Here is a 25,025-nt window from a genome sequence, read left to right as displayed (position 1 = left end):
CGACTCTGCTCCTATTAACGAGCATCCTCTCCTTTTCCCCTTGAGCTATTCATTGTTTGCTGGCTGATTTTTCAATTCTCCTCCATATTTGATGCAATTAAACTAAATGCTCTGTGCAGGCACCCCCTTAGCAATACTCAGACACCGAGTTTATGAGAAGCTTTGAACATAGTTACAAAATTCCTCCCCACGAAGAGCTGGATATGCTCTGTTTCTAAGCCAATAAATATCTTTTTATAAAAGGAAGCTGATGATTCATTCTGGGTAATTGTCAAAGAATGAATCCCAAATGTCTCCCATTGAGTGTTGAGCCAGTACTTCACTACTGTCAGACGCTTTGTTTTGCCAAAAGCGAGCACCCTTACTCTATAATCACAAATACCTCGGATGGGCCTTCTGATAAGGAACGCTGCCAAAAGTTCAAATGTCTCCTCAAGAGCTGGCAACAGCCCGCTGCTAGTGCTGTGCTCAGGCATTAAGATAGCATAGACACAGCTTGTACCAAGGAAATTTTACTCTGAAATTATCTCCCAAGAGCAAGTGTAGAAACATTTTATTAGTGGATGAGTTGTGTGTGTGTGTGAGCGCGTATGTGTGAGTGCATTTCTAACTTTCACAGCTGCTCTAGAGCTGGAACATTTCCCCCATGTGACACTTTAACACGATTATAAAGACAGAAAAATAGTTTATTTACAGATGTTTGTGGGGGAAAGGTTTCCGTTTTCTTTTTAGCACAAGTCAGCTGCTGCTGAGGTAAGGACAGAAATGCCTTTTTGAAAAGTGCCCTGGAATGCAGAGTGTTAAAAAGATGCCATTTGTTCCATCTGAGGAGCTCCAAATGCTCTTCTAAGAGTGACTCATTAATCGTCCCCTAGTCCTGTGAGGCAGGGAGCGTCCTCTGGGCCCCTACTTTAGGGATGAAAACCAAATTAAGTCAAAGAAAGATTAATGTCACTAGATGGATCTGCAGCAGGATTGTTTCTCCAGCCCAGAGCAGAACTGGTACGCACGGCAATTTCAAATTAAATTCCTTCCAGTCTCACAGGGTTCTAGGATTCGATGTGACAACAAGCGATTCCCCTCCAATCATCAATGGAGGGGAATTGGGGCCACCCCACGTTAGAAGTGGCAGAGATGACTGTAGACTTTCCCATCATTAGAATGAGAAGTTGTAATCACTCAGGGAGAAAAAGACCCATATCAACAACTTTAAGTCATTTCCAAAATAAACAGGAGCTACACATCCTCCAAACCACTTGCAAGTGAAGGTAAGATTTCTTTATAAGATACCATGTTTATGGCACAGCTTAGAATTCCATGAAAAGAGATTTTCTAGAAATGTAAGGTTGAACTTATGTTTAACCTTATGAAACTACCACTTTTGTAGGTAAAAATGGTCACCTATTGACAATTTCATATGGCTCCACCTAAGAGAAATGCTGGCATTGTAGCTATAAATTTTATGAAAAATTATGAATATGTTCTGAATATTGTGATAATTTAAAGAAAAAAATCTGAAAACATGAGAATCAAATCACTACACAGAAACTCTGATTGAAATCTCTCATTCCTGAAATCACCTTTTCTGCTGAAACAATATTACGTGAAAACAGAATTCTATTCCACATGCTGTCCCAGCAGCCACGTGCCAATATTGCTCTCCCTCCGTCAGTATCGTCTTCTCCCTCAGCTCTTCTCACTGATGCCCCAAGGCTGGAAACTGATGAAAACAAAATCTTGTTTCTCAGGGCTTGAGGGATAACCTTGCTGAGTCCTTCAGCACAGGGGTTCACCAGTGCATTGGAAGGGGCCGTCAGAACATCCTCCACAGGCTGGTCAAATCACACAGAAGGTTCTGGACATCCAGGGGAGGGCTTACAGGATGCTGGAAACCAGAGAAAATGCCACAGGGCTCCTGCTTCTCTCTTGTTTACTTGAAATTAACCTCCAGGCCACTAGCCAGCTCCTTCTGCGGCCTATTAGTGATAGCCCTGAGACTGTCTTCCTCCTGAGGGAGTTGGGCCACCAAGAATGTGTGGGAAACTGCGAAGACCTGAACACTTAAGACTCAAGAGTGATCCTGTTGGGTTGGAGTTGTCAGAGCCCAGATGCCTGAGAGAGGCCCCCTTTGGATGAAGGTAACTGTCATCTTCACGGACTGCTGGCCAAAAAGAGGGTTAAAGTAGAAGTAGGGAAGCATTTTGATAAACTCACAGACACGAGATTCACCCTGGGATTTTAAGAGAAGTTACCCTTTATGAATTTGACATCAGAGAATGTAACTACCAGGATTTCTCCTCAATCAGGCCCAGCTCTCTAGCCAGGCTGCCTCGGAGGTTAGGAGCATGGGCTGAAAGCCTGGATCTGGGGGAAGGTATCCCTCAGGCCCTGCGCAGAGCCACAGTCTCTAGAGTGGTTATTTCGCCTGCTTTCAAGCCTTGAGGCATCAGTGAAGGAACTCTGTGACTCTGGCCAAGTTTCTTAGCCTCCCTGGGCCTCAGAATGGGGCTGATAGTATTCACCTCATGGAGCGGTAAAGAAGACGGAAAGAGCTGCTGTTGGTCAAAGCCCTAGAACAGTACCCAGTACACAAGAAGCATTATACGTGTTTGTTAAATGAATATCTAAAGACATTCACACTGCAACAGACCTTTAGCGATTGTCCAGTCCCTTTTAGTGTCACAGATGATGGACTTGACCAGAAGCATTGCTGACCTTACTTAACAGACCCTTTGGGGCATTCCTATGAGCTTTAAATATCTTTTGAATTACAAATTTGTTAGCAGTGACCACTTCTGCATTAGTACACATCTGTTAATGAAAGCGGTTAAACAACATTTCTGCCTCTCAAAACCTTGCAGCTCAGAACTCGAAGTGTAATCTTTAGAGAAAATTTCCTGCCCAACACCTGTCCTGCACACTCGCCACTACTCCATAGCAGGGTGCGGGTGCAATAACTCGGCCCAGCCAAAGGTCACAGCAGGGTGCGAGTGAGAGGAAGAAGGCTGGACTCCAGAGAAACCACCCTGCCACAGTCCTAGGGGACGAGTGTGCCCCACTCCCTGAACATGCAGGTGCACATGCCCCAGACCCTGTTGGCACCAGAGCAAAGCACAGTCCCCTTCATAGTCAACGCACACAGAATGACATCCAGTTAAGGAAGCGCACCGGGAGGGTTTAATTATAGGGGAGAAAGACTCCTCTGGCTTCATGTGTAAAGACACGCTTAACCCTTTGTCTGCACAGGACAGAATGACACTGGAACAGAAATGCACCCTCCTCTGTGTTCATCAGATGGAAAATGGGAGTAAGGAAAGCACCTGCCTCCCAGGGTTTTTGTGGACATTAATTGAACTAATGCATGTGAGCAGTGCCAGGCACTGGCTGCCATGGTTATTGTCATGGAAAGCAATTCCCCGGTGCTGGGGGTTGCCAAGGGTGTCAGCCAGTAGGTGACAGGGCCCTGCCAGCAATGTGGGGCTCTGGGGGCTGCATCTAGTCCATGAGATGCTATATTTTTGTCATGCCCTCAAATCCCCTCTAGAAACCTGTTCTTCAAATGTGCTGAGAGTAAATCATTCAGACGAGACCAGCTACACTCTGTTTGCCCTAAGGACAGACAAGGAAAGAAGAAACAGGCTGGCTCTCCAACAGCAGGGACTTTGTTTAGATAGTAGGAGGAACTGGCCGTCACTACAGATTAACTTTAAAACCTAACTAATGTGGACTAATTGGAGGGAGGTGAGTCTGATTCACTTAAAACTCTGAATTAGACCCTATTTTTAAATGAATTTTTTTTTTTTTTTTTTTTTTTTTTGCTTTTAAGCACATACAGTGACTCAAACTAGGGTGCTTTAGTAAATGAATAAGAGTGATAATTAGCATCTTGTCTCTTTGGAGGGAAATGCTAGTGCTCAAGAGAAAATTTTTTCTTTAACAAAAGGGTAAAAGCAAACTTCAGCCCAGCCCTGTCAAATTACTCCCAAATGTTGAGTCTGCGGAGGCGCTGCTTAATCAAATATAGATGTAGGTGGCTGAGGGTGGTGGGGGATGATTTTCTCCAAGCAGCCTTTAAAAAACAGGGCTTTTGAGATGGTCCAGGCATAGAGAACATGGAGCCCAATGACCTCCCGTTTCCTTCAGGCTCTCTGGTTTATTTGCCTTATGGCTTAGCTTTTTAAACATAAGGAGAATCCTTTAAGCCTTCATGTCCTAGGCTTGTCATTTATTACCACCATGCAGCAACACTGGGGTATGAGGCCAATAAATCATTTGGACGGGAAGTGACTACAGGCCGGATTAATTTCATTATCATCCTTAAGCAGATAGGTGTCTAGCACGGCCGATGTCTGCAGTGAAGACTGATGTTCTATCTCTCCCGACAGGCCTTCACCTTGCCTTGCAGACAGCTGTGGTGGTTCTTCATTCTCCCTGCTGGAGAGACTTGCCCTGCCTCCTCCTATTAATGGCAGTGGGTAGCCCCATCCCCTGCCTCTGCGGCCCACCCCATGCCCCACAGTGGCCAAGGGATGCTGAGAAGCCTGGCAGGGGAGGCACAGCTGAGCAAGACAAGAACTCCAGTCAACAGCACCAGAGGAGGGCCTTGGAGTCTGTGTCCCCTCCTAACTCATCAAGACAAGCCTGCCACCCAGACACAGGGAGAGGTGCTGGCTTGCAGGTCTAGAACCCTGAACTGATGCCATGATAAGCACTTCCACCCAGCAGGGCAGCATCTCTGACTCCGATCTCCTCCTGGCCATTACCTTCCCTCTGGGGCCGTGTTTTTCCAAATACAGCCAAAGATGCCCCTTATTCCTGAGCCCAAGAATGCACACTTTTAGAAAACTCCCTGGGGATTTTTACAAACTCCAAAAGCTAAGAACGACTGCTCTTGGCAAGATGATTCCAGGGTTGGCAAGTCTGAGCTATAGGAGAGTGAGCACGGGGCAAGTTGCTAGCCTGCAGCTTTCTCTGCTAGACTCCCTACAGCAATGCCACAGGGGCAGCACCTCAGTCATCACCCAACGCAACCACTTTCAAACTGGGTGACCCACTCAGCCAAAAAGCCCAAGGATGGGTGTTCTCTGTCCCTGGCCATTGTCTAAGAAGCTCTGCTCGGGAACAGTCTCACTTCTTCCTGGGCAAGGGGAGAATCTGGCAGAGTCCTAGGTCCTTCCTGGTGCAGACCTGTCACCCTGGGACTGTACAGCCATGAAAAACAGGGGGTCCCTACCCTCCCGGTGTGCTGGGAAGCTGCTCCTCCTCCTGTCTTCTCTAGGAAAGCACCTGCCTCCAGGCATCTGCACAGTCATCCCCAACTGATATCTTTGACCCCACCCTCATCTTACTATCCCTCCCATCCACGTGACTTGTGGTGTCCTCCTCCTGAGCATCTGATTCCATTTGTGTGTCTCTGTGTCTGTCCAGAGCCACTGCATTATTGCTGGACAGCACCAATCCTCACCAGAAATCCACAGCTTCTAATGGGGCTATTTCCAGGTTTGCACCCCTTCTATCTACATCTCACACACAGCCCCACTCATTTTCTGAAATACTAACCTCCCTGCTTCAGGACCTCCCATGGCTTCCCACTGTTCTTGGGATAAGACTCAGAACTCCTGAAGAGGCTGCCCCCATCTGTGTGATCTGCATCTTCCCTGCTTGCCTCCCTACCCCTACATCTTGTAAGAGGCCACAGCATGGACTGGTTCAGCCACAGACCCTACAGCCAACTATCCAGGTCCGAATCTGGCCCTGCCACTGACTAGCTGTTACCAGACCTCCCAGAGCCTCATCGTACCCATCTATAAAGTGGGGTTAATAATAGTACCTATCTCGTAGGACTGCTATAGGATAGAATGGGGCGAAATACTGAAATCGCCATTGCAAAACTATAACAGTGAAAGACATCTGAAAGGTGAACAGTGAAAAACATCTGAAACAAACCTTTCAGATGCCTTTCACTGTTATAAGACGGTGAAGCAGATGTGTTAGAAGACAGTGAAGAGATCTGACCTAACCAACTCCATCTTGCTTCTAACCTCCAAGCTGCTCTTGCTCATTTCTGGATGTAGACTGAACTAACTTTGGGAGGAACTTACAGTTTAAAACAAAGACAACAACAGCCCTTTCCCAAAACCACCTTCTTGCCTGGGGACTAGATTGCCTTCATAGGACTAACAAATTAGCCACAAGATTGGGATTGTGGTTTAGGAATCATGCAGCTGGAGGCTACAAGATTCTGACTCTCCCCAAATTGCTCCTGGGGATAAAATCACTATTGTAAAACCTAAGACCAGTGCTTGAGATATTTTGCAAACCCTGCTTTTTTTTTTTTTTTTTTTTTCCCCTGACATGGAGTCTTGCTCTGTCGCACAGGCTGGAGTGCCATGGCACCATCTCAGCTCACTGCAACCTCCGCCTCCCGGGTTCAAGCAATTCTCCTGCCTCAGCCTCCCAAGTAGCTGGGATTACAGATGTGCACCACCATGCCCGGCTAATTTTTTTGTATTTTTAGAGACAGCGTTTTACCGTGTTGGCCAGGCTGGTGTTGGACTCCTGACCTCAGGTGATCCACCCACCTCAGCCTCCCGAAGTGCTGGGATTACAGGCGTGAGCCACCACGCCTGGCCCAGACCCTGCTCTTGATGGATCAGCTGGTACCACCCAGATTAATAAACTGGCTCATCTGATCTTGTGGCCCCCACCCCAGGAACTGACTCAGTGCAAGAAGACAGCTTTGACTTCCTATGATTTCATCTCTGACCTGACCAATCAGCACTCCTGGCTCACTGGCTTCCCCCAACCCACCAAGTTGTCCTTAAAAACTCTCATCCCTGAACGCTCAGGGAGACTGATTTGAGTAATAATAAAACTCCCGTCTCCCGTACAGCCAAATTACTTTATCTCAATTCCTGTCTTGATAAATCAGCTCTGTCTAGGCAATGGGGAAGGTGAACCTGTTGGGCAGTTACATTACAGGGACATGCTGGAAATAGTACCTGGTGTGGTGTAAGTACTTCATAAGCACTGACTATAATCAGCTGTCACTGCCCTCCTTCCCCCTCTCCATTGCCCCTCTCAAGTTTTGACTAGTCTAACACGCATGCTCTCCCTTCCCTGCTGGATGTGCCTGCACCCTAGCCCAGTCTGGCTAAATTCTCATTGTTTAGCTCTCAGTTCAGTCATAACCTCCTCCAGGAAGCCTCTTGGATTCTCCAAGCCACACAGCACTACTACACGCAAGGTGTTGACTCTACTTGTCTCTCCGTCCTTTTTTGCACTCCTTCCCCAGGGCTGCAGGCTCTGTGAGGGCAGGGACCTGGTCTTTGCTCCTCTCCCATGCAGCCCCAGCTCTTATCAGAGTGGATATTCAACAAAGATTCAGATAATACTGCTAAACAAGTGAACCCCAGTATCCCAGTGTGTTCAGGAACCTTCACTGCCTCCTCTGTCTTGTTATGTGCAGGTTTCTCTGGCACTCAGATCTCTGAGAAGTCACGTGCACCCCTCACCGCCCTCGGCACTCACCCAGTATGTGGGTTAAGAGGCCAAAGGAAGTATCGCTCAATATTGCAAACAAACAGGAAATTTAGAACTTCTTCAGGAAGCAAGGACCTACACAAAAGGTTACAAGGTCTACTGTGAATGTTGTGGAGGGAGGCGAGGCTTGGGACTTCCCGGGCTTTGTTTAGCATCAGCACGCTTGTCACCCAGTGAAGGCTAAAGGATAACTCTTCTCTGGCTTTCCTAGACTTTTTTCCTGGGTTCTTTTCTGCTGAACCTCAGGGTGGAGAGAGTTCAGGAGATAGAAAATCATAGCCTTCTGAGAAGGGAATACGTGACAAGTACACTGTGAGAGCCCTTCATGGGCTTGTCTGCACAAGCAACGAAAGAAAACTTCAGCCCCAGACACGATCGATCTGCAAGTCATTCCAGGAAATGGGTGGGAGTCCTGGATGTTTTAAAAGAATGTCCATGGGACTAGGATTGGGGATGAGGAAGGAGACACGGGGTCAAGTCTTGCTCTTACCTCATAGTGGCCAATGGTGTTTAGCTTGGTGATTCCATCTTCAAGAATCACGGAGGAACTGTCGATGTCCAGAAGTTCTTTCTGTCGTGTGCCCATTTGAAGCTCTGAAAAAGAGCATTTTGTTCCTTTTTAGAGAGTTTTAAAATGCCACCACTTTACTTTCACAAATTTATGGATAACTAAAACTTGAATAAAGTGGTAAATCTTTGTTTGAAGGTGTAGAGATGCATCAGCCAGACTGGTAGCCTGAATTCTGAGTTCTGTTTTACTTTGTTTGTTTGTTTAGGGCTCTGATGTTTCAAACCACTTCTTCCCTGATAAGCCTGGAAGTAAAGCCACTGAAGACAAAATAATGCATTCTATGAGGGACGACTAAGCTCTTCAACAAAAATTCCAGAAGCAAATTTGTATATGCTCACACTTGTGTGCCCATGTTCACAAAGAGAGGCATGATATGAACCATCTCTGTAGGCTCCTGTTCGGGGTGGAGGGGGAGGCATCAGTGTGCGAAGGTCCCAGCACCACAGTGGGCAGACTCTCTGGCCAAGGCTGCTAACCTATGCCTAGGTGAGCATGTGGTGCACAAATGTGATTTTTCTTTTTTTGGAACCTGCATGGTGTTTAATTATTATTTTAGTGTCAACTCAGTGCCAACATTTAAAGATTAAAAGATTGCACATAGGCTGGACATAGGAGCTCAGACCTATAATCCCAATACTTTGGGAGGCGGAGGCAGGGGGATTACTTGAGGCTAGGAGTTCAAGACCAGCCTGGGCAACATAGTGAGACTTGTCTCTATAAAATTTTTTTTAAAAGTTTTTAAGTTGCATATAAAAAACTGGATATCTGATTTCTTTAAAAAAAGAAAATCGAACAGTCTAGTAATACAATCTGTAGTCCACATGGCAACCACTGAAGCAAATGGCACTGTCCCCTTGGATGGCGAGTCCTTTCCCATTAAGTCAAGCTCCACTGCTTTCTGTAGTCCCAGGCGGCTGACACCCCTTATGTATTTTCTGCCCCTTTGGGCATCTGCGTTTTTGAGTCTCTGCTGTAAGAGCTCCAAGCATAGCTGCTTCTGGTGTTGGATTTCTTTTTTTTGGTTTTGTTTTTGTTTTTTTTGGAGACAGGGTCTCCCTCCATTGCCCAGGCTGGAGTACAGTGGCGCAATCTGGGCTCACTGCAACCTCTGCCTCCCGGGTTCAAGCAGTTCTTCTGCCTCAGCCTCCCAAGTAGCTGGGACCACAGGTGTGCACCACCATGCCTGGCTAATTTTTGTATTTGTAGTAGAGACAGAGTTTCACCATGTTGGCCAGGCTGGTCTCAAACTCCTGACTTCAGGTGATCCACCAGCCTTGGCCTCTCAAAGTGCTGGGATTACAGGCGTGAGCCACCACGTCCAGCCTGGTGTTGGATTTCAGTACAGTTGATGGCTGGTTTCTGGAGGTAGTCTGGGAAATCAGCAGGCACACAGAAGCCTGACATAGCTGATAGGCTGTGTCCCCAGGCCCCCTCCTTGCTCTGCTCCTTGCCTTCCTACTTTAGGAGGCAAGGGACACCCAAACTCAGGAAAAGAGTAAGGATGCTACTACCTACTCATCAGCGGCAGGACCAAGACTGTCGGGCGGGGTATGCCCATGTCCTTTGTAGTGACAGCCACATATTTGCAAGATGTATGCTCAGAGCAAGGAAGCTGGGGGTCTGGGGTCAGGGTCATGGTGTCCTGGCTGGGGCTCCCCCTTTGATCCTGTATCTAACCAAATGAGCTAAAATGGTCCTCAAGTGACTCAACGGTCACCCAAGGAAGGAAGCAGAAGAGGGGTGCCTTAGCAGCCCTGCTTTCTTTAAAGCCACATCACCAAGTTGCCCCACATTTGCATGGTCTCAAACTTCCAAGACCCTGCCTCAAGGCTTTATCAATGGCCTTTTAGCAGGGGGCTGGACTGGGAGGGCCGAGTGGGAGGATTTTAATTGCCTGCTTAGTCAAGGCCTATAACTGTACATCAAGGGGAAGTGAACCTCGTTACACTGTCTGTCACCACCATGATTCTATTCTTCATTTCTGTCCCATTATCTGCTATAAAATCCCACGACAGTCTCCTGGGAGGACTGCACGGAGCTCAACTTTAAAATGTTGATGAACATTTGAGGGAAGTGGGGCCCTGTTAGCTTGCTCACGCATATGCTCTCCTTTGCAGTATACCAGTAGAGCCCGAAAATGAATTCATAGCAGATGCTGCTGCACACTGAGGGAGGACGGAGCATATACTTAATACAGGATGTGATTAGCAGAGGAAGATGACCTTTCTAGCAGGCTAGAGTTAACACCCAGAGTCTGAGCCACCCAGTAATGACACGCTCAGTATCACAACAAACAAATCAAATGCCAATGTGAAATGCAACACACGCAGAGGGCACTGTGTTGACACCTTTCTGTATTTCATGATGCAAGGTGATTCCGTGCAGTCTCAGGGCCTGCAATCTCATCAATCTGATTTACAGACGTAATATTTAAAGACAACAACAACAAACGCCATCTTTGAAGGACCGTGCTTCCTTCGAAGAATCAGGATGCCCATGAGAGACCAAAGCAGTCTCTTGGCCCCTAGACATGCCCTCCAGGAACAACCTGGCTGTGTAAGTGTCACTGAATGGAAGCTGGTGGGGGCAGGGAGGGGGGACAGGGAGGGAGGGCAGGCAGGGAGGGACACTCATCAGGGCCTGGGACCACATAGCTCCCGCACCGCCTTACCAAGACCAATTTCATTAAGCTGAAGTCCATAAGGAGAGCCATTTTTGCTTAAGAATGCTTGGAAAATCTTTTCTTTGGCTTGGCCAATGGTGTCACAGTCGAGAACATTGACTGAAATATTCCGACAGACATCTGCACTCTCGTTTTCCGGGATTTTTTCAAAGACGACGTTTAATGCCTGCAAGAGTACAAACAGGTTTCCAAGTCTATTAGATAATTGCAATCTGAAAGGCATTTCATAAAAGACACAAACCTTAGCAAGTCCCACTAATACCTCTGACAGCACATTAGCAAACACTGTATTGCATTAGACTACTTTCATCTTTTCTCCATAATCCATTCTTTTCAGGGATAATGGAAGGGAAAACAGAAAGTTAAAACTCTCATTATAGAGCAAGCATTGAATAAATATATCTGAGAGTAAAATATACATATACACATAAATAGTCTAAAAATGGTAATTTGGTGATTTCTAATTTCTCCTCAAAAGAAAAAGAAAAAAAAGAATTGGAAGGGTTCCACAGTAGATGAGGCAGACTGGTGATTATCTTTTTTATTAATAGGACCACAGAGTCCCAGAAGTGCAGTTCTAGGTGACAGGGAAGGTTACGAGGTCCCCATATTGACCATGCCAGAGGTCACTTTTTTTTTTGAGATGGAGTCTTGCTCTGTCACCCAGGCTGGAGTTCAATGGTGCTATCTTGGCTCACTGCAACCTCCGCCTCCTGGGTTCAAGCAATTCTCCTGCCTCAGCCTCCCAAGTAGCTGGGATTACAGGCACATGCCACCATGCCTGGCTAATTTTTGTATTTTTTTAGTAGAGACGGGGTTTCACCATGTTGGCCAGGCTGGTCTCAAAGTCCTGACCTTGTGATCTGCCCACCTCAGCCTCCCAAAGTGCTAGGATTACAGGCGTGAGCCACTGTGCCCGGCCCAAAGAGGTCACTTTTTTAATATGCAGCATTAATTACAGGAACATTCATCTACCCCTCCGCTTTCAACATCCTCAGTCAGATGGTTTCCCCAGCCCTCATTAAAGCACTGAGATCCCCACCCCATACTATGATTCTTGCATTAATTACTTTACATTTCAGCACCATTACTTAACATTTTGTCAGTGAACATTCTCCTAGTGCAGCAAAACTTCAGAATCAGACTAATGGGGGAAGTAAGGCCTTTGTGCACGTGTGAAAACACAGAACTAGGGAATATTTCAAAACAAACTGAAAAGCAATTCCAAGTTTACTTTGTCTAAGAACAAATAGATCTAAAACAACAAAGTTTTACCTGATACGTACCCTCACGGGAATTGATTCAGGGAAGAGCCAAGAGTATTTTGCAAATAGCATAACATAGCAGTTTAGATTCTAATGCACCTTGGTAATCACAAAGTCAGAAAGGCTTGGGTATGGTGTGAAATGCACAATTATTTAATGTTTTGAGCCTGGCTTAACGAGGGAATGTAAAATGATCAAGTAATGGGAATTTTGTTTTGTTTTTTTTGGTTTTAAGGAGCGGAGAGTCTAACAGGCAAGAAGGAAGGGAGAAGACAGAAGGAAGATGCTCGCCCATACAGAGACAGAGGGAGGGGGGGCTCCAAAGCCGAAAGAGGAGGTCCCCAAGTACTGTGGACACTAGCCAGGTATATATGCAGAGGCTGCAGGAGGCAATGTCTGATTTGCCTAGGGCTCAGGGGAGAGATGAAAACACAAATCATATGGAAGATGGGAACCCTCAGGCCTACCTCAACTTAAAAATGGGTGTAATAACAGTACCGGCCTTCTAGCATTGTTAGGGAGATTAAATGTGATCATGCATTCAAGGGCTTAGCACGGGGCCAGGCTGCTGGGAAAGGCTTGATGATAGTATCGGCAATAAAACCTGTACAATTACTATTGTTGGCATTAGTATCCACTCATTTGCAAACAGATTCAGCCCACATTGGACAGCTAGGACGCCCACTCCATGCTCAGTATCTCTGAATAAGGAGGAGGCTGCCAGCAATGAACCCAGTGGAAGCCAGTAGACTCCTGGCTTTCATCCCAGTCCACCGCAAGCCAGCTGGGTGACCTCTGAACCCATCCCTAACCAGCTGTGTAACCTCTGTGTATGTCGCTTTCTCATCTGCAAAGAGGGCATAACAACAGTAACCGCACAGTTCTTAGAACAGCATCTGGCATGTGAGCCCGTGACTTATGGACCACTGACGTGGATGTGGGGCTTCTGAAATTTCGGGAGGTTCTCAGGGGTGTTTCTTGTCTTTAATGCTGCTATGATCTGAATATTGATGTCCCCCTAACTCCAGGTATTGAAATCCTAACCCCCAAGGTGATGGTACTTGGAGGTGGGGCCTTTGGAGGGGATTAGATCATGAGGGCAGAGTCCTCATAAATGGGATTAGTGCCCTTATAAAAGAGGCCTCAGAGAGCTGCCCTGCCCTTTCCACCATGTGAGGACCCAGCAGGAAGGCGCCATCATGAGAAAGGGGGCTCTCACAGGACACCAACTCTTGATCTTGGACTTCTCATCCTCCAGAACTGTGAGAAATAAGTTTCTATTATTTATAAGCCACCCAGTTTATGGTGTTTATAAAGAGCTGAGACAAACACCACTAAATCTTGCCCTTATAATCCTGTTGATAATTACGCAAGAGTAAATTTTGTTCTGGTCTCAACCAAATGATTAAAACTCCGAATCAGTGGAATCTGAACTCTGAGGTAAGCCGGTGATCTCCGTCTGGCCTGTACGAGTTTCCCTCCTACAACAGAGTCACTCCCTTGCCTGCTCTCAGAGAACCTTTATGTTCTGGGCCAGCCACCGACTAGGAAGGGGTTCAAAGGCCTGTCTGCTCACAAACAAGAAACAAAAAATACCAGACAGGAGAGAAGGCAGGGAGCTGGTGGGCAGAGTGCCTAGAAGGAACCAACATGTGAAGCCTCACACCCGAGCCCTCTCCTCACCTCCCTTTTCTAGAAATGTTTCCTGGATTATTATTCCCATCCCTGTTGTAGAGTGAGGGAACTGAGGCACAGAGGGGCTGAGTAACTTGCTCCAGGAACAGCTCACCAGTGGCAGAACCAGGAATTGAAGCCAGATTTGCCTAACTGCACAATTGGTGCCACAAACCCCTCGGCTATGCCATCCCCGCTTTACCACCCGCCCTCCCTCCCTCCTTCTGGTTCCACCTATAGCCCAGGAGCCCTCCTGACCCTCCAGAAACCCTGGCTTAGCTCAGGCTGTAAGCAATGTCCTAAGCTAAATTCCCCACACCAGTGGGAGGGGTGGGTGTGAAGGGGTCAATGCTGGTGCCACCACCTACGATCTTGTTGGGGTCTTGCCTTATTTCTCTGCAAGGTGATCTTCTCATGGTGGCGGGTAATTGCAGTTAAGCTACTTCAGTTTCTAAAGGGAAAGATGAATGGGAGGCACCTTTTAATCGGAGCTTCAGCAATCTCAGCTTGTTTAATAGTTTTATAAATATTTGTGAAACAGCATTCTATTACTACCTAAAGGCACTATTGTCTTTAACAAAAACACTTTTTTATGGGCAATAAATGTTCTTTTTAAAAACATAACCAAAAGAAAAAACACCCTTAACTGGATGTAAAATAATGTAAATCTGCCACTGCCTCCACAGCTGGATGGGTGGAAAAGAGGTAAAATGGCATTTTACAGAGTCCACAGGGAATTCTGAGAGTAAATTCAGACATAAATTGATATGTGTTCATTTTTCATGCTGCTAACACTTAGTGCTCAAACAGCAGTTTCTTTTTTTTTTTTTTTTTTTTTTTTTTTGAGACGGAGTCTCGCTCTGTCGCCCAGGCTGGAGTGCAGTGGCGGGATCTCGGCTCACTGCAAGCTCCGCCTCCCGGGTTCACGCCATTCTCCTGCCTCAGCCTCCCAAGTAGCTGGGACTACAGGCGCCCGCCACTACGCCCGGCTAATTTTTTGTATTTTTTTAGTAGAGACGGGGTTTCACCGTTTTAGCCGGGATGGTCTCGATCTCCTGACCTCGTGATCCGCCCGCCTCGGCCTCCCAAAGTGCTGGGATTACAGGCGTGAGCCACCGCGCCCGGCCAAACAGCAGTTTCTTAAGGCGTAAGTACAGTCAAGGCCCTTGGGGTCAGCCTCTTAACACCTCCACCCCCAGGCTGGGAAAGTGCACGCGGGCCTCTGCTCTGTGATGGGGAGCAGATGCCTGTGCCATGTCAGACAGCGTGACATCACAGCGTCTGCCCTCAGCCACTGTACCCCATCGGGGGAGACACCTCGATGGAAGCGCCATCTCTCCGGCTCCCACACTCCCACCAAAGCCCATTTAACCAGCATGTTCTCCTGCCCTATTTAGTATTAGGGCTGGGATGTCAGAGAGATGTTATGACATAGTCCTTGTTCTCAGATAATTCATGATAAATTTCAGAGACAAAAGCATCATCTGTGGGACAACAGTCACCCATCAGTGACTATCACCCTCAGCAAGTGTCCACAGAGGATTCTGAGTAGGGAGGACAGTGGGGGTCAGGGCCCTGAGTTCCAGGCCCAGCACCGGGCCACCTGGACCCTCCCATTCTCTGCTGCTCACCAGCTGAGGGAATGTAGGGAAGTCGTCTAACTTCGCTGAGCCTTAAAATCCTCACTGTTCCTATCTCAAAGGAGTGACAGGATCACTAAATAATGACACATAATAATAGCAAATTAAGGAGTGCTTTATAGGTGCCAGACACTGTTTTAAATGACGTGTGTGTATTTGTATATGTAAATCTCAGAAACAACCCTGTGAGGTAGATTCTTTTACTCATCCCCTTGTGGCAGATGAGAAACTGAGGCACAGAGAGGTTAAATAAATGGCACAAGGTCAGCCAGCAAGAAGATGGTAGAACCGGGTACTCAAGCTCCGTGTTCTTAAACACTCGGTGATCCTGCCTTTGGAAGTACAAGAATGTTTTGTAAAGTAAGCATGGTCCAAATCGATGGGATGGCATAATACCCAGAAAATACCCATGAAAGGCTAAAGAGCTGTGAAATGTACACTGGTCCCTTCCCCAGAAATCTGCCCTCTGTTTAGAGGGACTGCCCTGCCTCTTCCTATTTCCTTGGCAGGAAAGTGTCAGTAAGCTGCGGTGGCAGATCTGGTTTGTCGTCCAACCAGCAGCCATCCCTCCTCTGCTAACAAAGGCCAGGTCTGCACAGCAGTGGGTCCAGCCTGGGTTGGGAGGCATGATCAGCAGCAACTCCCTTCTCTTTCACCAGGGACTGGTCATGTAACCCAGCTCTGGCCAACACATAAAACCAAGGGTTTTCTTTCTTTCTTTTTTAATAGACAGGGTCTCACTCTGTTGCCCAGGCTGAAGTGCAGTGATCATGGCTTACTGCAGCCTCGACCTCCCAGGCTCAGGCAATCCTCCCACCTCAGCCTCCCACATAGCAGAGACTACAGGTGCACACTGCCATGCTTGGCTAAATTTTTTTTTTTTTTTTTTTTTTTTTTTTTTTTAGAGACAGGGTCTTGCTGTGTTGCCCAGGCTAGTCTTGAACTCCTGAGCTCAAGTGATCCTCCCACCTTGGCTTCCCAAAGTGCTGGGATTACAGGTGTGAGCCACCACACCCTGTTGGAAGTCTTCTATCCAAACAAAAGGGGGAGTAGCGCTTGGAGCGGTGGCAGCCATCTTGTGACTAGGATGGCAGGGCCAGGAGGTACTGGGAGATGGTGACGCAGAGCTCTGACACCACGGAATGTAGGGACCGGCTTGGAGCTCCTTCCCTCCAGACTTTCTGCTCTAAGAGGCAAGTCATGCTCTTACTATTTCAGGCATCCTTAGTTCAATTTTCTCTTACTTATAGCTGCATGTGCCAAACTGCCAGAGCTCATTTTGTGGATGCTGAGGTAGATTCGTCTATTGATGACCATTTACTTTGCACCTATTGTGTGCAGGGCACTGTAGGTGATACAAATCAGAACCTGTACTCATCCTGCTTGGGAAGTACTAGCAGACTAGTAGAAGAACTGTGGGGCATATACAACACATTCTAATGCCAGGTAGAATGTGGGAGGTACAGACGGAGCATTTTAGGGATTTAGAGAGGTACCTCTTTTAGGTCGGCAGGGGGTTTTCAAACAGAGAAATCAAGGAAGGCTGCATGGAGGAGGCAGCATTTGAATTGGGTCGCAAAGAGCTGTAGTTCATGAGGGAGGCCCCTAGACCATGGAGACACTTGGCTTCCAGTCTCTAATTAGACTGGTGAGCAGGAAGCTTCAATCACTCACTCAGGCTATCAGGTCAGGAAGTCTACAGAAAAAAATCCCACCTTCTTTGGGTGGAAGTATGGGTGGAGGACTTGTAGCCCAGGCCTGCCTCCCAAAACCACCTCCTGCCACCTGAAAGAGAGTCCCTGTACTATTCATAGGAAAAAAATATGGTAAAGAAAAGAATATGGTTCTAGATTTGTAATAATAAGGACCAGCATTTATTGAGTGCTTATCACGTACTGGGAATGCAATTATAGGTTCATTCAATCCTCACAACTGCTCTATGAAGTAGGTGCCATTATTAGCCTCATTTAATGGATGAGGAAACCGAGACCAGAGAGATTTAGAAGCATGTCCAAAATCATGGAGCCGGTGGGAGTCATAACTAGGACGTGTCCTGACTCTGGGCTGCGAAGCGAAGAGGCCAGCCAAGGTGATGAGCCTCCCAAGGGCAGTTCCCCTCTGCTTGAAGGCCTCAATGAATGCCCTCCCAGGAGACAGGCTGGACATAGGCGATCTGGTAGAGGAGGCTTGACCTCCTCACCCCAGCTTGATATTGAACCCCACAGAACCCACTGAATCTGGAGCACCCTGTGCCTCCGGTGCCACCCAAGGACATTTTTACAGAGCTTCTGTTCACCCAGAATAAAGGTGACATTTCCCAGCCTCTGCTGCTGCCAGGTGTGGCCAGTATGCTCCAGATTCAGTGGGCTCAAATGATCCTCCCACCTTGGCCTCCAAAGTGCTGGGATTACAGGTGTGAGCCACCATGCCCAGTGGGAAGTCTTCGATCCGAACAAAAGGGAGAGTAGTGCTTGGAGCGGTGGCAGCCATCTTGTGACTAGGATGGCAGGGCCAGGAGGCACTGGGAGATGGTGACCCAGAGCTGGCCTCTTGGCTTCGCAGCTCAGAGTCAGGACATGTTCTGGTTATGACTAAGTCCTGGCCGATGACATTAAGTGGATATGTTATGTGGCACTTCCTTAAAAGATGGCTGGTGACCATCTGCCCTCCTTTCTACAGCCCTGCTTACATCCTGCTGGCTGGGATGGGGAATGAGGCTGGGGTGAGCAGACACTTAGAATATGAGGACAAGAGAGGAGCAGCTGCTCTACCAGCCCTGCACTGCCCACCCAGAATGCCACCAGGGAGAGAACTCAGCTTCTCTGTTGCTGAAGCCACAGACATCTTGGGTCTCTGTTCTGTACAACTGAACTGCATCCTGATTGATTTGGGAATGATGCCTATTACCAAGGAGGGTTATGAGAAAGAAAAGACTATTGGAAAATGTATGGTCCAGAAGGCCCGGGAAGAGGGCCAGGCTGGAAAGGCCTGGCCCCTTTGTAGCATGTCAGCCATCAGCCTCTCACAGGTTATCACGGTCGTCTCCTGTTCACATCTGCCCAATGGGATACTGTCTGCCACAGGTTGTAAACACCCCATCACAGCGGTCATATGTAACATTTTTAACAAGAACATAAGCACACAGGCACCCAAGAAATGCTTTTCATGATGATGGAATCAGCTAATCAACTCCCCCACATCCCACATCATCAATAAATAACCAACCAAAAAGAATACTGACGGGACACTTTCTGCTTAGTGAAGCTTACAGGAGACAAGAGAAAAGCACACCTCAGACAAGGAAAACTGAATCAAAAAAGAATGAGCACCTACTTCACACCAGGAAAGATGGCTAGACGTGGTACATGTATTATTTTCTGACCTCACCACAAATATGCGAGGGCAGGTTTTGGTCATTGCCTGTTTACAGAAGAGGAAACAGGTTTTGAGAGGTTGAGAGACTTGCCCAGAGTAAAGTGGCTGAGCCCAGATTCAAACCCAAGACTATCAGACTCCAAACCCCACCTCTTCTGCACACGGCCTGGGAACATGTAACTGCATTCCCCTTTCACTACCGGTTTTACCCATCGTCCCGTCACATGATTTGGTGGTTTTGGGTATTGAGGAGGCAGAGAGGATAAGGCTGCAGGGGGCTGGCAGGATGAATCAAGGGCAGGGGAACAGGTCTTTTCCCACATGGGAAGATGATCTGGCTACCTCACTGTCTCCTCAACCATATTCTTGGCTAATAAAAGCAGGAACGTTGCTGCCTCCTTTCTGTGATACCTTATAATGCCTAGAAAGTAACTGTAAGATAATTTATTACAAACTGGCAACTTTATCATAAAAGGCCTTGGAGCAATAATTGCTTTCATTAAATAAAACCTATAAAATATATTTCTAATTTTATTTCAGGGCCGAATGAAAGTCAAGAGAAAAGCCTAGTTCTTATACCAACCTGAATTAAAGAGAGAAGAAACAAGAAAGAAAATTCAGTTTCAGAAGTTCCGTAGAAGCAGCATGAGGCCAGTTAGAAGTGCAAGTCTGAGGGAAACTTCTGATCTAAGCTTCTTTCCAAGCCAGAGTCAGCAGCCCTGGGACATTCTGCCTGACGTTCCCCTTTGAGCTGCGCTTGCCCATCCAGCCTCCCCTCTTCACTCTGCTCCCCTTTTCCTTTCCCCACAAAGATCCATAAATCACAGCTTCCTGGATCAAGGGATCTGCTACTCTAACAGAAGAGTAAGGGGTGGAGGACAGGGTAACGAGAGCCTTTTTCCATTTAAAAAAAAAAAAAAGTAATGGAGATAATTTTCTCAAATTTAGGTTTCTCTCACCAATTTTTCTATACTTGCTAGCATTTGCTAACGTTTTGTCCATCCTAGAATCAAGTATGAAGAGCTGTCTGATTTAGCCCAAGATAACTGATTTTAGTATTCACAGTATTTGCGGGTGCAGGGTTGGGGGTGGGGGTGGGTGTTGTGTGTTGGCAAAGAGCCCCATGAGTTTCAGACTTGTAAATAGTGGCAAGGCATTTCCATTGCTGTGTCCCAGAAGGGGAGGAAAGAGGCCAACCTGTTTGTGGGTTTGTGGGAGGGAGGATTCTGGTTCCTATTCTCTACTATGTCAAGCTCTAGATTAAAGGCCAACAAACTTTCTGCAAAGGGCCAGAAAGTATTTAAGACTTAAAACTCATATGATCTCTGTGACAACTACTCCACTCTGCACTGTAGCAGGAAAGCAGCTATAGACAATAAGGAAATGAACAGGTGTTCCAATAGAACTTTATAAAAATAGGCAGAGGGGCCACATTTGGCCCACAGGCTGTTGTTTGCTGGTCCCTGCTCTAGATAACAGTACCTTCAAATGGAATGCTAACTTTGACAATAGCAACAAGACAAATCTGGAAAATGCTTTCTATCTCCGCCATGACTTGTGATAAAATTTACCATTCTCTGAGGGGTACAAATATAAATAATGATCCTAACAATAACATAATAGAGTCACATTTGAGCTATAAAGAAAAAAAGTAAATACTTTTATATTTAGATAACTAAATTATTTTCTAATTCCAAGATTACAGGCATGAGAAGAAAGTGTATGAAGAGGAAAGTCATTTAAAGCACCCATTACATGTTAATTTTTCATTTTCCATGACTTGCCATCAACGAGGGAATGACTTACCTAAAATGATTGTAAAAAGTGGTTTCACTCTTTGATCAGGAAGCTCAGAACACTAACTATGAAGTTAGTAATGGTTTCAGTACTATTGCAAGTCATAATGGAAATGATTTGCACTATGGTAGAGAGAAAAATAAAAAGCTCAAGAATTGTTAATTAACTTCACTGTTTCTCCACAAATGGTAGGAGTATTAAAAACAAGATTGCTGAAGTGCAAACATCAGGATTTAATGAACAATGGAATGTAATTGAAGTAACAGAGAATGACTTAATCGGGACAGTGGGTTGTTTAATTACGGGGCTAATGGATCTTCTGCAAGGACAAACTAAATGGAACAGAAGCAGCCAGCACTGGTAGGCAGAGCACTGTTAAAGGAAGTATACTAGTAAGAAACTCCTGGTGGAGACACCTAGGGCTCTGTTGTATATGAGATATTTTATTAAACGTAATTGTCCCAAAATGGTAACTGCTAGAGAAAGAGACAGACTGGGGTAGGCTGGCATAAACCTTCAATAAATCAAATTGGAGGCATTAATATTTCTGCAGGCATGTACTTGTGCTTTTTCAAGAATTTCTAATAATCTTGAAAACTTTCTTATAGATAGGAGAATGAAGGCAATAATATTTTTGTCGGAACAGTTTTCCAGGGTGCCAAGATGCTCTCTCTCAGATACAGCAGATTGGCAAGCTCGTTTTCTAAGAGTTCAAAAAACCATTTCACACTTAACTTTGATTACAAGTCAACCTTCTCTTGCTAATTCAGCACGCTTGCTACGAGTTATTGGTTTTTCTCATCTCTTCCTGAAAGTGAAGCAAATGTCCCTTCTCCCATGTGAAATCCTCAAACTTTCACTAACTCCTCCAAAGTTCCACTCTTGACAAAACGTAAGCTGAGTGAGTCTGAGATACTCCATCAACAAAATCAAACATGTTCAAAATTTTGCAAAGGGGAAAAAAACCCAGCAGAGCAATAGGTCTTATTATCGGCCGGATGCAGTTGCTCACACCTGTAATCCCAGCACTTCGGGAGGACAAGGCAGGTGGATCACTTGAGGCCAGGAGTTCAAGACCAGGCTAGCCAACACGGCGAAAACCCGTTTCTACTAAAAATACAAGCATTAGCCTGGCATGATGGCAGGTGCCTATAATCCCAGGTATTTGGGAGGCTGAGGCAGGAGAATCGCTTGAACCCCAGAGGCGGAGGTTGCAGTGAGCCAAGACTGCGCCACTGCACTCCAGCCTGCACTAGAGTGGTATTCCTTAAATTAAAAAAAAAAAAAAAAAAAAAAAAGGTCTTATTCTCTTCCAGCTGTCTGATCTGAATTCCTAGATATTAAGGAAAGACTAAAGTCCTGTGTGTGCACAGCCCTACCCCTGGTGCTGACATTAGGGAGGATGCAGATATCAGGGCATTCTGTCTCACTGTTGCCTCATTAAACACCAGCCTGGAATGCTTGATAGAGAAGGATGGTTTCTTATGGTCCTGGAGGAAGTATGGCTCTAGGGGACTTTGCTTGGATTTTTGGCAAGACAGAGGAATTTTCTTCTCAATATGCAAGAAGAGAACATTACTTCCCAGGGCCTCTTTGTTAGTGTCATGATTTCATGTATAAGAAATTGGCAAGATGCCTTTATGTTCTAGAAAATCCCCCACACCTCAGGGAGAACACATCCTCATCTGAGAGGTGTGAAAGCTAACTTTTAGATTGCTATATGAGGTGCTGTGCTTCTGAGCATTTAGCTGAACACGAGTGTGGGGGCCTTTTTTCCAAACGTGTCCCTGCCTTGGCACCAGGTTCTGTCATTTCAAGTGGTTCGTGAGGATGCTCTTGATTTCCGACTTTCCTTTCCTTGAAAGAATCTGCCCCCAACCTCCCACCTCCCCAGCACACAAGGACACACAGAATCAGTTTGTTCACCGCACCTTGGTTTTCAATTACATAAACCACCTCAGGCAAATTTGGGAAATCAAGTCCTAAAATGGCTGGGTGTACATGCTTGGGAGGGGTAGGTGGGGGAAGTGAAAAAGAAGGGGAGGAGGGAAGGGAGGAAGAAAGAAAATTAGAAATATGGTGGTTCAGGCTGGGGGAAATGCCTGAAAGGAAATGAAAAACTTAAATTTTTTATATTGACCTTCTGCTAACAGTTTGTCACACAAGCATAGAACGGATCATGTGCCTTCTCTGCAGCTTCTCGTACAACTGCCAACCATGAAAGGGGGGCTGGGCCAGGCCCCATAAGAGGCACTAACAATCATTTTTAAAGGCAAGGCCCCTAAAAACAAGTGGCCCATTCCTTTTCAAGGCTCAAATCTTATGTACCGGCAAATCTGAATTTGAAAAGGAAGATTTATGTGGATTTCTGAAATCATGATTTTCCATTACCCTTTTCCCCAGGGGCTATAAAGAAAAAAAAATTTCAAGAGTCGACATGAATTCCTTCAGCATCAAGTAACATTATGATGATGAGTCGAGTGTTAACAAATCAGAAACACATGGTCTTAATTGACTGTGAAATAAATAATGTTTCGAAATGAAAGGGAGAAAACACGTTCAGATGTAAAGCATTAAAAAGGCTTCAAAACCTCAAAAGTTGCCTCAGACATCTGACCTCTTCCTGATTCCAACCCATCTTCTCCTTTCCTGTCTTTCCTGTTTGGGTCCGGTGTTGTCTCATGACTGAAATGCTGGAGGATTCCCGACTATAATCATTTGCAAATATTTCTCTTTGGAGACCTTTGGGGCTTCTAAAACGTCTTAAAGTAAAGGCATGAACATCTTCTAGGTTAGGAATAACAAGCCCAGGATCAGCGAAAGGTGAGTCAACAGGCCCTGTGCAAAGTTTGTCTCTTGTTCTCCAAGATACCCAGTGGTGTCCAGGCTGAACACACATCAGAGATATCTGGAAGGTTTACAAAATACATCCACGCCTGGGCTCCCTCCCCAGAGATTCTGATTCAGTCAGTCCCGAGGGAAAGCCCGGGCACTGGTATATTTGCACCTGCATTTTAAACAAGGGTTCAATGAGATCTGGATCAAATGGAATAAAGTTTTAGGTAGCACTCACATGCCTGGCAATGTTCTAAGTGCTTTTTATAATACTGACTCTTAATCCTCAAAACACCTCATGAGATGGGTAGGAACCATGACCATCATTTCCATTTCACATGTGAGGAGAATGAGGCATAGAGAGGTTTAGAAACTTGCCCAACATTACACAGCTAACCAGTGGCAGAGGCAGGATTCCAAAATGTCTGGCCCCAGAGTCCATGCTGTTAACCACTCTACCAACAGTTGTTAAGCAGCACCCGCAGCATCAGGAAGCTGGTTAGGGAAGTGAATTCTCAGGCCACAGCCTGGATTTACTGCATCGGAAACTCCAGCATGCTGCCTAGCGACTGGTGTTTAGTGAGCTTTCTGGGCGATTCTGCTAGATGCTCAAGTTTGAGAACCAATGCAGCCCACTCTCCGGCCTCTCAGATGTGGATGGGTGTATTGATACAATTCAGAACGCTGAGAAGTGTTGACTTTCAGCTCAGCTTCCCGCTCTCGGATGGCAGCTGTGCATGGTGCCATCTTTGATGGAGAAGTGAGCCGCATCTGGCAGTGGCAGAAAACTTGAAACAGCTGACCTACGGACTATTCTCCCACCAGAGGACATAACCATAACACGCTCCACGGCAAAGTGGTGCCTTCTCCAATTAGGGAATGAATTCTTCCCAGATGACACTGCAGTCCCCACCATCCAGAGCAAAGCCACAGAAGACTCAGCTCTCTTAATGAGCAATTCCCAAACCCCACTGTAATCTTTTCCTCCTCCACTAACGAGATCGTGAAGAAGCCCAGAATCTTCATAAAGCTAAAGATCAAACCAAAACACAGCAATCTCTTCTCCAAGTCTCTACTAACAGAAAAGCATAGAAAATTCCTAATTCTAAAGTTACCTTCCCTGCTTGGCTCCCTCTCTGAAATTCCCAAATGTGCCCCAAACTGGGCTTTCTTTCTTTCTTTAGGAAGAGCATGGGGTGGGTGCGGTGGGGATGAATTAGAAAGAAGTTCTCAAGCGGGTGAAACCCTCCAGCAGCTAGGCAATCATCTTCCTGTAGTGATTTACAGCGTTCCTCTAAAAATATCTATGAGATCACAGTACATTAAGTGCATGACACCAAACATTTGTAACTAATCCATGAAAATAAAGGGCGTCACGTTGCATGGGGAACGTGGTGGAATTTGTCTTGTGTTATCATTCTAAAATAAGACGGCCTCAATTTGATTGAAATATATCTTCACACATTGTCTTCCCAGAGCAGAGCCATTTGAGAAATTCTGATTGCAATTATAAGTGCTGAATAGGGAGTACTTTGCATTTCCTTTGACGACACTGAAAGTTATAAGCAATCCTGATATTAAAATCTTTGGAAATTGATGAGTACCCCAGGCATCATTACAATATTTTCTCCCCCAATCTCAGT

At 46.1% G+C, this 25,025-nt stretch overlaps 2 protein-coding genes across 12 annotated transcripts in view; one reads left to right on the top strand and one right to left on the bottom strand.

Moving 5' to 3' along the window:
* The window catches only part of CEP83 (centrosomal protein 83), a 194,793-nt gene extending 170,021 nt beyond the window's left edge, over positions 1 to 24,772 (top strand). For 2 of the 7 annotated variants that reach the window (XM_047428922.1, XM_017019386.3), the window contains one exon: positions 4,386 to 8,253. The gene's annotated coding sequence lies outside the window, so the exon portion shown is untranslated. Of the gene's footprint in view, positions 1 to 4,385; positions 8,254 to 8,318; positions 10,670 to 12,296; positions 12,678 to 19,290 lie in introns of those variants that run through there. The other 5 variants (XR_007063081.1, XR_007063083.1, XR_007063080.1 and 2 more) reach the window with 5 other exon arrangements.
* Positions 1 to 25,025, bottom strand: part of PLXNC1 (plexin C1) — a 159,099-nt gene that overhangs the window by 17,242 nt on the left and 116,832 nt on the right. For 4 of the 5 annotated variants that reach the window (NR_037687.2, NM_005761.3, XM_006719186.5 and 1 more), the window contains 2 exons: positions 10,785 to 10,962; positions 8,033 to 8,136 (listed from right to left, as the gene is read on the bottom strand). Coding sequence is in view for 4 of the 5 variants with exons in the window: in NM_005761.3 (NP_005752.1) it covers positions 8,033 to 8,136; positions 10,785 to 10,962 (282 nt within the window). In the remaining variant the exon portion in view is untranslated. Of the gene's footprint in view, positions 1 to 668; positions 2,159 to 8,032; positions 8,137 to 10,784; positions 10,963 to 25,025 lie in introns of those variants that run through there. The other variant, XM_011537730.4, reaches the window with a different exon arrangement.

This window comes from Homo sapiens, chromosome 12, assembly GCF_000001405.40.
Source record: "Homo sapiens chromosome 12, GRCh38.p14 Primary Assembly".
NCBI classification, from domain to species: domain Eukaryota; kingdom Metazoa; phylum Chordata; class Mammalia; order Primates; family Hominidae; genus Homo; species Homo sapiens.
This window is presented reverse-complemented; position numbering and strand designations above follow the sequence as displayed.